This window comes from Homo sapiens, chromosome 2 (assembly GCF_000001405.40).
Source record: "Homo sapiens chromosome 2, GRCh38.p14 Primary Assembly".
NCBI classification, from domain to species: domain Eukaryota; kingdom Metazoa; phylum Chordata; class Mammalia; order Primates; family Hominidae; genus Homo; species Homo sapiens.
In genome coordinates, this window is record NC_000002.12 from 97,328,153 (window position 1) to 97,338,335 (window position 10,183).

At 42.4% G+C, this 10,183-nt stretch overlaps 2 pseudogenes; both read right to left on the bottom strand.

Annotated features, from left to right (window-relative positions):
- On the bottom strand, positions 3,259–4,353 carry IGKV2OR2-8 (immunoglobulin kappa variable 2/OR2-8 (pseudogene); annotated as a pseudogene).
- On the bottom strand, positions 7,468–8,507 carry IGKV2OR2-7D (immunoglobulin kappa variable 2/OR2-7D (pseudogene); annotated as a pseudogene).

A 10,183-nucleotide genomic window follows, 5' to 3' on the forward strand; every position in this document is an offset into this window, starting at 1 on the left:
TTCCAGTCTCAGAGAATGGGGCAGGTTCCCACAACTCAGCACATGGGTGGCTCCTCCCCGGTGCCCAGGTCACAAGAAAGACCCGCCTCTACCTTTCGGGCTCCCTGTTGAGAATGGGACACCAGCACTCCTACTTTCCCAGTGTTCCTGAGACCATGGTGTTGTCTTTTGTTTATTGTGGAGTGTTTTTGCCATCTTCAGACAGGTCTTTGACATAGCAACTTATCGGACATTTGATTCTGTGATTGTGAAAATTAATTGATTAATTAGTCATAAGTAAAAAATTAAACAATACATTGAATCAGAAAAAAGGAGGGCCAGATGAAGAGCTTAAAAGGAATCTGAGTATCTTAAAAAGACGTATTCCTTTCAAACAAGAACAGTTAGAGTCACGGATTTTTTAACAAATGACTTTTTAGCAGCAATGATGAAATAGTAAATGACAACTTCAAATAGGCTACCACATATGGAAGTTTCTTGTCAAAGAATATCTTCAAGAATCATGTAAACACATTTTCAGATTAAAACAAACAAACAATGAACGTGGGTTTACCAGCAGACCCGCTCAATGGAAAATTTCTCAAATCTGTGACTGAGTCAAAAGTACATTTGTCCCTGATGGAAAGCTAGAGGTTTTATTTGTTTCTGTATTTATTTTTGATCCTTAGAAGAAAACAGCTTTCTCTCCATTCAGTTCCACCTCATGCTGTTGAGGATGACCATGGGGGCAGTGACTGTGAGGAAGGAGGAAGGCTGTGCTCTCAGGGTGGTCGTGCCTCCTGTCCACCTGAGTGACCTCATGGAGCAGAGCCACCCACACCACCAAGGCCACGTGCCTGCCTCTGCACTGCCATGGCACAGACACAGAAACCTTGTCACATTTAGTCCACCATATTTTGAGGTTTCTTTGTAATAAATTTAATTATGCTCTGATTCTCCTTGTGTCTCTCTCCTTTCAGATTTGGAATCATTTACTTTTCACCATTTTGACTTGAGAATATAGACCTTTGGGATATCAGCATCAGGTAGGTTGTACATTTGTTTGCTTTTCCTAAGAATATATCTAACCGCCTTGAATGGGTTTTGATTTTATCTTCTGTCTCACAGAAAAGCAGAAACTCAAGGTGACTAGGTGCTGTCAATCACAGGAGGGCTAACGTGACAACGGAATTGCTGTATCTCCTGCTGTTGCTACTTACATCTTATTTTCTTTTACTGCGTTCTGTAATAACATTTAGGCTCAAAGAAACATTAATTAGTATTTTTGAATAACATATTAAGTGCTTATGTTTCTTAATTTGAGGGCTATGGTCTACTAAACATCTATATACATTTTGCCATGCAACTTTTCAACCCAACAGAAATGACACATGGGAATTTTAATTGCACTTCCTGTGGAATCCGTTATCTTGACATAAATCATCTCAAGTATAATTTAAGCTGTTAGCCTGCATCAGATTCAATGAGCCTTTTGTGTCTCTACACAGTGTTTTCACATGTAAAAGACATCACTCATTACTCGGGTTCATGTAAATTTATTTGGCAGAACAATCAGATCACGGAAGCAGGCAAGTGGTAACACAAGTGAAATACATGTTAGAAACGACTGGTTTGGGGATAGTTTTATACATGGTAACAGGTGGTCATATTGGGAAATTGCTGTCTTCCCACTTTCCAAACTTGCTCCTTTACCACTCACACGAAACTGCCCTCTCTAGTATTATGGTGAAGAAAGCACTATTGCTTTTTTAACGGAAAGCATTTGTTAGGTTTAAAAGTTCCATGGCAAAATGTATACAGATATGTATCAGACCGCAGCCCTCATATTAAGAAAGCATATAAATTTAGAACATTATTGTCAATAGAATCTATTTATTTATTTATTATTTTAATTTTAATTTTATTATTATTATACTTTAAGTTTTAGGGTACATGTGTACAATGTGCAGGTTTGTTACATATGTATACATGTGCCATGTTGGTGTGCTGCACCCATTAAGACACATGCACACGTATGTTTATTACGGCGCTATTCACAATAGCAAAGACTTGGAACCAACCCAAATGTCCAACAAAGATAGACTGGATAAAGAAAATGTGGCACATATACACCATGGAATACTATGCAGCCATAAAAAATGAAGAGTTCATGTCCTTTGTAGGGACATGGATGAAGCTGGAAACCATCATTCTCAGCAAACTCTGGCAAGGACAAAAAACCAAACACCGCATGCTCTCACTCATAGGTGGGAATTGAACAATGAGAACACATGGACACAGGGTGGGGCACATCACACTCCGGGGACTGTTGTGGGGTGGGGGGAGGGATGAAGGATGGCATTAGGAGACATACCTAATGCTAAATGACGAGTTAATAGAATCTATTAAGGGCATAATTTTTCTATGCATTTACAACTAAAATAGACGATTCAGATTTATTTTCAGGAAAAAAATAGGGTCATGTAAAAATAATGCATTTATTCATTCTTCGAATGATTTTCTTATGACAACATAGTACTAGATATTTCCTCTCTAAAGTACTATGTCAGTAAAATACTTTTAAAATTCTAAGAATTTGAGAAGAAAATAAAAATCTCATGCAATTCTGCATTGTTCCTGTGATATGTTATATAAACTTTATGTTTTCCTCCTGAGTTATTTTGTTTATTTTCAAATCCCACTTTTGGAATTGTAAGAACTCCATTTTCAGTCAGCAAAAGGTAATTGAGGTAAATCAAACTATTTCGGGATTAGGATTTATATTTCCCCTGGATTTTAAAAATCTATAAGTAGTAAAAAACAATCAGACATTATAACTAATTATTCTTAGCCATACTCCCGTGAAAATAGCTGGTGCAGAATGCTTTCTCCACCATAGTACTAGGGAGGGCAGGTTCGTGTGAGTGGTAAAGGAGAGAGAAAGTTTGGAAAGTGGGAAGATAGCAATTTCTCAACATGAACAACTGTTACCATGTATAAAACTATCCCCAGACCAGTCGTTTGCAACATGTTTTTCACTTCTGTTACCACTAATCTGCATCCATGATCTGATTGTTCTGCAAATAAATGGACTCAACAAATGTGGGCCAGACAAGGAGGGTGAAGATGAGCTTCATTCACTCTTCCTTCATCAGAGCTGGCTGTTCCCAGAGCAGGTGGCTACATGTGGCAGCTGATGGAGCCTTAACATGTGGGACTGAGGTGCAGCTGAGGCTTTCATGGGCCAGAGTCCTCAGCAGCAAACTCTGTCCTGAATTCTCCAACAGCCTCCTCTTCTGCAGACTGAGAGACCCTGCTGAGCTGCTCCCCAGACAAGCAGTGCATGTGAGCAGCTGGGACACCCCAGAAGGGAGGTTTCTCTATGGGGCTGTACCACTGTGGGAGGAAGCTGCAGAGCCTGCATGCAGTAATAAACCCCAACATCTTCAGCTCCACCCGGCTGATTTTCAGTGTGAAATCAGTGCCTGACCCACTGCCATTGAACCTGTCTGGGACTCCAGAGGCCCGGTTTGAAACAAAATAGATCAGGAGCTGTGGAGACTGGCCTGGCTTCTGCAGGAACCAATACGAATAGGTGTATCCATCACTGGACAAGAGGCTCTGACTAGACCTACAGGATATGGGGGTGGCTCTCTAGAGGCGACAGGCCAGGAGAGTGGAGTCTGGGCCATCACAGTATCACCACTGGATCCTGAAATAATAACAGAGAAGTGCAAGTTTGTATAGACACATTATGAGCAGCTTTCATGATTTCTCTATGATACTGATTTACAGTTACATATATTTTCAAGTTTTGATTTATATCATGGAAAGTAGACTTTCTAAAATGAACCCATTATTTACCAGCCAGCAGGGAACTCTTTATTTTCAAGATCTTAATCAGAGGTCATTGTTCCTTGGAGGTGAATCCTGATTATTCTTAAGACAAAAATATGAATTCTCTTTCCTGGAGCATAGACCATGTGCCTCTAACACATGGTTGAAATAAATATGGGAAGCTATGGAGCTCCCAGAACTCACCTTCCAACCCCATTTTCCCACCTCATATTTTTTCTATCTTGAGCATTAGCCGCCCCAGGAGCTGAGCAGGGAGCCTCATTGTGAGATGGACTGAGGAGTCCTGATCTGTCGAGGCAAGGTTAGAGCTGAGCTTTTACCTCAGACTCACAAGGGAAGGTCCTCCCCTAGGGTGCAATATGCAAATCACCTGGTGGGTGCAGCAGTGTGGAAAGGGTCAGTGGTGGAGGGGGTATGTCTCTACTGTGAACAATGTGACATAAAATGTTCAATGGAGCAAAACAAACATAGTTCAAGTCAAGTATGCCTGTAGCAGTTGAGGATGGGACACACTAGGGTCTCCTCCCAGTGATGTGACTGAGCATCCCTGCAGCCATGACGACAGCAGGAAACCTTAGCGGCTGGTCCAGTGAGGATGTGGCAGCCAACACTGGAGGGTCTGTAGGGCTTGAGCACCCCAAGGAGTTAGGAAGGAAGAGGCTCTGGAAGGTGCCCTGGAGAGACCTGGCCCCTGTTCACACAGAAGAGGAGCATGTACCTGTGACTGAGGCCTCATGTCCTCTTCCTCAAAGACTCTCCAGGCAACTGCCTGAGCCCACCTGACTCGACTCTCTGTGGACACATCCCCTGGCACCGCAGCCTCTCCTTCCACGCTGAGAGGCGGAGCTTCCTTGAGAGCTTTATGTTTGGGGCCATCACACTGTGCAGGGTCCCAGTGAGTGTTCTGCTCACAGGAGGATGTGCAGCATCTCCAGGCTCCAAAGTAGTGTTTGTGATGGTGAAATCCCTAGAATTTTGGTTAGATGTGAGTCCCTGCTTGTGAATACCTTCTACAGACATGTCATTCTTTGTTTTGCAAGATATTTTCTATGAAGCATCCTTTCTTTGTTTTTGAACCTTTTTTTGGTTAGGAATGTAATTTAAATTGCACTACCTTTAGTCTCCACACTAGTGATTATGGGAGTGAGACCAGTAGATTTTGGGTTGGATGTGTGTTCTCACTCATGAATGGAAAACTACTCTAAAGACTTGTCATTCTTTGTACGTGTGACAAATTACTTGCTATATTTCATGATTTCCTTTTTTTTTGACATTTCTGCTTGGAAATACAATTTTAAATTCATTCACAATGGGATCCATCATCTTAGAATAGACAATAATTTCTGATGTGATTCATTTTTTTAACCAGAAAAAAAGATATTTTGTCCTTTTGATACGAACATTACTTTAATCATATCACCTCACGGCAGTAACAGACATGCTCTTGAATAATTCATAAATATTTTTGGAGCATTATTTTAAGTGACTATATGCAAATCATACATTTTTCTATACCATTACTGTTAGAATATGGAAATCAGATTTATTTTTAGGCAATGACCACATTGTGTAAAAATAATACATTTACTTATTTCAAAACCTTTTATTGTTTTTTATGACAACTTAATATCAAAATTGTCATTTATCAAAACCTGCTGGATTACGTCTTGCTGGGCCTTCTGCTCAGCATGTCAGTGCTTCTGACATCTCCCAGACCCAGACGGTGGTCTCTGCTAGACCTCCTCTAAGGATAGAATAAGTTTCAGAAGCTCTGCTTGGCTGCTGTGATTTCACTAAGACTGAGTGACATGACCTCAGGTCTCCTTGTACAGGGACTTCACTAACCCTTTGGTGATTACACACCTAAAGCCCTACTCACGACATTACTTTCCTGTGAGACTCCCAGTGGCACAGGCTCCGCCCAGGAAGCCACGCAGCAGTGCCTTCAACTCTGTGATTCTTCGCAAGAAACATATTTGGCTCCTTTGTGGGTCCACATCAACTGCCATCACCACCACCATCCACATCCCACCCACCGTAAACCAAGGGCAGTTTAATTGAACAATAGCCGACCTCTCCTGTACCCCTAAGGCCCCTATTCCTGCAGTCTGTCCAATCTTGAATTCTGAACTTTGGGAAATAAAAAAGTTTCCATCATCCTTTATTTTCCCAGTGATCCATGGAAAATACTACATCTTTAGTATACTACATCTTCCAGGATTTGCTTTTTATTTCTAAAACCAGCTTTTGGAGTTTCAAGAACTCCATTTTTCTATCAGTGAGAGATAATTGTAATTAAAAAAAGGTTCAGTATTAGTATCTTGTATCTGCTATGAAATTACAAAATCTATTTGACGCTCACTACCAAGATTTCACTGACTGTCCTCAGCCAGCTCCCTCTGAGGAGAACTAGTGGAGAATGCTGTCTCTCCTGTCTTACGGAGTGGGCAATGAGTGCTAAATAGAAGAAGCGGAAGTTAAAACAAACTAGGAAAATGCCAATTTTAAATATAACCAAATATTTTCTTGAAAATATGGCCGGGTGCGCTGGCTCATGCCGTAATGCCAGCACTCTGGTAGGCTAAGCCCAGTGGATCACTTGAGGTCAGGAGTTGGAGACCAGCCTGGCCAACATGGTGAAACCCCGTCTCTACTAATAATACAAAAATTAGCTGGGCATGTTGGCGAGAGCCTGTAATCTCAGCTACTTGAGAGATGAGGCAGGAGAATCGCTTGAAACTGGGAGGCAGAGGTTGCAGTGAGCTGCGATCATTGCTCCACTGCACTCCAGCCTGGGCGATAGAGGGAGACTCTGTCTCAAAAAAAATCTATATCAATCCATATCTATGTCTATGTCTATATTTATATCTATATCTCTATCTATATCTATCTATCTATCTATCTATCTATCTATCTATCTATCTATCTATCTATCCCAAACTGTTAAACCCTAAGATGTATTCAGTGTGTCTTGCCAGAAATGATCAATTGTCTGGCTGTTTTGCTGAATAAATTTAATAAACAACTGTAGGCAAGGAGGGAGGATGAAGATGAGCTTCCATTCTCCTTTCCCTTTCATCCTGATTTTTAACTCACAGGGCCCTAGAACCTCCTCATACCCCTGTTACTTATGACTGTCAAGGCTGTGTCAGGTGACAGGTACATCAGCAAGAGCGGGAATTGGGCCCGATGGCTCATGCCTCTAATCTCAGCACTTTGGGAGGCCGAATTGGGTGGATGACTTGAGCCCAGGATCTCAAGAGCAGCCTGGACAACATGGCGAAACCCCGTGACTACCAAAACTATATACAAAAATTAATCAGGCTTGGTGGCATGCCCCCTGTGATTCCAGCTACTCCGTAGGCTGTGGTAGGAAAATCACTTGAGCTTGGGATTTCACGGTTGCAATGAGCCATAATCACACCGCTGCACTTCATGCTGGGTAACAGAGTGAGACCCTGTCTTGAAAACATAAAGAAGTAAACAAACAGGTAGTGCTTGAGGTACAGCTGAGGATTCATGGCCCAGAGTCCTCAACAGCAAACCTGCCCCTGAGTTCTCCAACAGCCTCCCCTTTTGCAGACTCAGAGACCCTGCTGAGCTGCTCCCCAGACAAGCAGCACATGTGGGCAGCTGGGCAATCCCAGCAGAGAGGTTTCTGTTCCAGGATGTAGCACTGTGGGGGACCAGTGTGTAGCTTGCATGCAGTAATATAAACCCCAACATCCGCAGCCTCCACCGGGCTGATTTTCAGTGTGAAATCAATGCCCGACCCACTGCCACTGAACCTGTCTGGGACCCCAGAAAACCGGTTAGAAACCTTGCAGATTAGACACTGTGGAGGCTGGCCTGGCTTCTGCAGCTACCAATGTAAATAGGTGTTTCCATTACTATGCAGGAGGCTGCGACTAGACCTGCAGGAGATGGAGGCCGGCTCTCCGGGGGTGATGGACAGGGAGAGTGGAGTCTGGGTCAACAGAATGTCCCCACTAGATCCTGGAATGATGACAGAAAAGGGCAAAGTTATGTACAAATATTGTGCATCATGTTCATAATTTTCCATTTATTATTTCAGCCTGTATAATTTCTTTGCAATTTCAGGAATATCCAATTTCAAAAAGAACTCAACAGATGCAAGGCACAAAGTGGTCTCCCATACCATCATCCTCTTTCTAAGACTTGTGTTTCTTCAGGGCACATATCCTTCCTTCTAAAATCTTCCTCCCTCTCAGAGATCAGTACATCATATGCCTCATGCTGCAGAAAAAGACCTGCATATCTAACACGTGGACTGAACACACATGGGAGACATTGGGCCCCCAGAGCTCACCCTCCCACCCCATTCTCCTCCCTCATCTCCCTGCTGTCCTTACCGGGGACCCGGAGCATTAGCAGCCCCAGGAGCTGAGCAGGGAGCCTCATCGTGAGAAGGTGCCCTGAGGAGTCCTGATCAGTCAAGGCAAGGTTAGAGCTGAGCTTTTATCTCAGACTCACAATGGAAGGTCCTCCCTAGGGGACAATATGCAAATCCCCTGATGGGTGCAGTGGGGTGGAAAGAGCCAAGGGGATGGTGGGAGCCTCTCTTGAGGGCAAAATGACTTAAATATTGTCTCTGTTTAGAGAGAAACCAATAGAGATAAAATCTGTGCTGCATGAGTAGGATAAATTCCCTTTTCTCTTTGTCTTCTCTCTTAGATTTCTCGTTACTTAGAATTTCCCAGGTGCATTTCTCACTTCTCCTTAGCAAGGTTAAGATTCCGTAAACATATGATGATTCTTATTTTTAAATTCATATTGGATTCAGGGTGCAGGATTGGCTTCTTACACTTTTTAATTGATATAAAACACTCACAAAGGATGGAAATGTTAAATATGCAACTAAGTTTTACGTATGTTCGCCATCCAGATGAATCTCTAGAATATTTCAAATTCTCCAGATTCATCCCTTGTGCACCTTCCCAGGCATCAACTGCTCCCCCATCCCAATCAAGGTAACTGGTATTCAGATATTCATTATAATAATTTGGTTTTCCCTGTGCTACAATCTCATATAAATAGAAGTGAACACGTTTGTTTGGCTGTCTCTTGCTTCTTTCTTGTTTCTTTATTATTTTTGAAGTCTTCTTTTCTCGCTGTGCGTTCAAGCTACGATCTGCTGTGATTTCCTGTGATTTTTGAAGAATTTCCTCTTGAATTTTTTATAGAGCACATCTCTGCAAGTAATCATTTCTCTTCATTTTTTAATAAAGAAATGTTTTTACTTTACCTTTATTTTTGAAACATGTTTTAACTGGATATTGAACCCTTTGCTGAGTCCCCCGAACCTGGCATTTAAATATGTAATCCCGCTGTCTTCTAGCCTCTATCAGTCTTGTGAACAGTTAGCCAATTATTCTATTATTGTTTTTCTGGTAAAATGAGCCCGTTTTTTCTTGATACAATTGAGATTTTCTCTTTGTCTGGTTCAGCGTTTTAACTATAATATGTATAGTTGTAGTTTATCCTGAGTGGTTACACTATCTGTTAAATAATATAATAATTATATAATATGTATAGTTATATAATATGTATAGTTGTAGTTTATCCTGAATGGTTACACTACCATTTAGGATAATGCATGGCATTTATCCTGAATAAGTTTCATTATTTTTTCAGTGATTTTTGTCTTGATCTTATAGACCAACGTCTTTTATTACTCTTGATGTATTTGCCATTATTTCTCAGCACTCTCAAGTATGCCATCTCCCAGTGATCATTTCTGTGTGGTTTTTCTCTGCATTTCACTCCACTGTGTGGCTGTATATTGTTTTATGTCTTAGGCAATTTCCACAGCAGCCACAGGGCCAGGCTGCTGGTGCACTTGGAGTGACAGTGCAGTTGGAGTGTCAGCAAATCTGGGCATGGGCCTGGGCTGGTCCACATGGAGGTGGCTCGGTGTCTGAGTTGCCAGCCACGGATGAGGCCCTGGAGCCTGGGTTTAGGGCAATGAAGCCCCATCCTAGGCAGCACAGAAGGGGCTGCTTCTTGAGAGAGTGTGGGAGGAGGGTTTCACAGCATCTTCCTCTCTGGGGTGATATGATTATAGCTGCAGGTTACCTTAATGCCAAAAGCACCAGTGTCCTCTGGAGCAGGCTGCTGTAATCCTCAACAATGAATCCTAATGGGCATCCACTGGGAATGTTGTAGGGTCGGGGCTGCCTGGGGGTTTACTTAGGTCATTAGCTGCAAAGGCTGCAGCGTCCTCCACAGAGCAGGCCATGGGGAGTGCAGTGACCCTGCCTCCTGGCTGATAACAATTGCCTCCTGCTTCTTTCATTTTAGAGGTCTCAGGACTCTCAGGCATGCC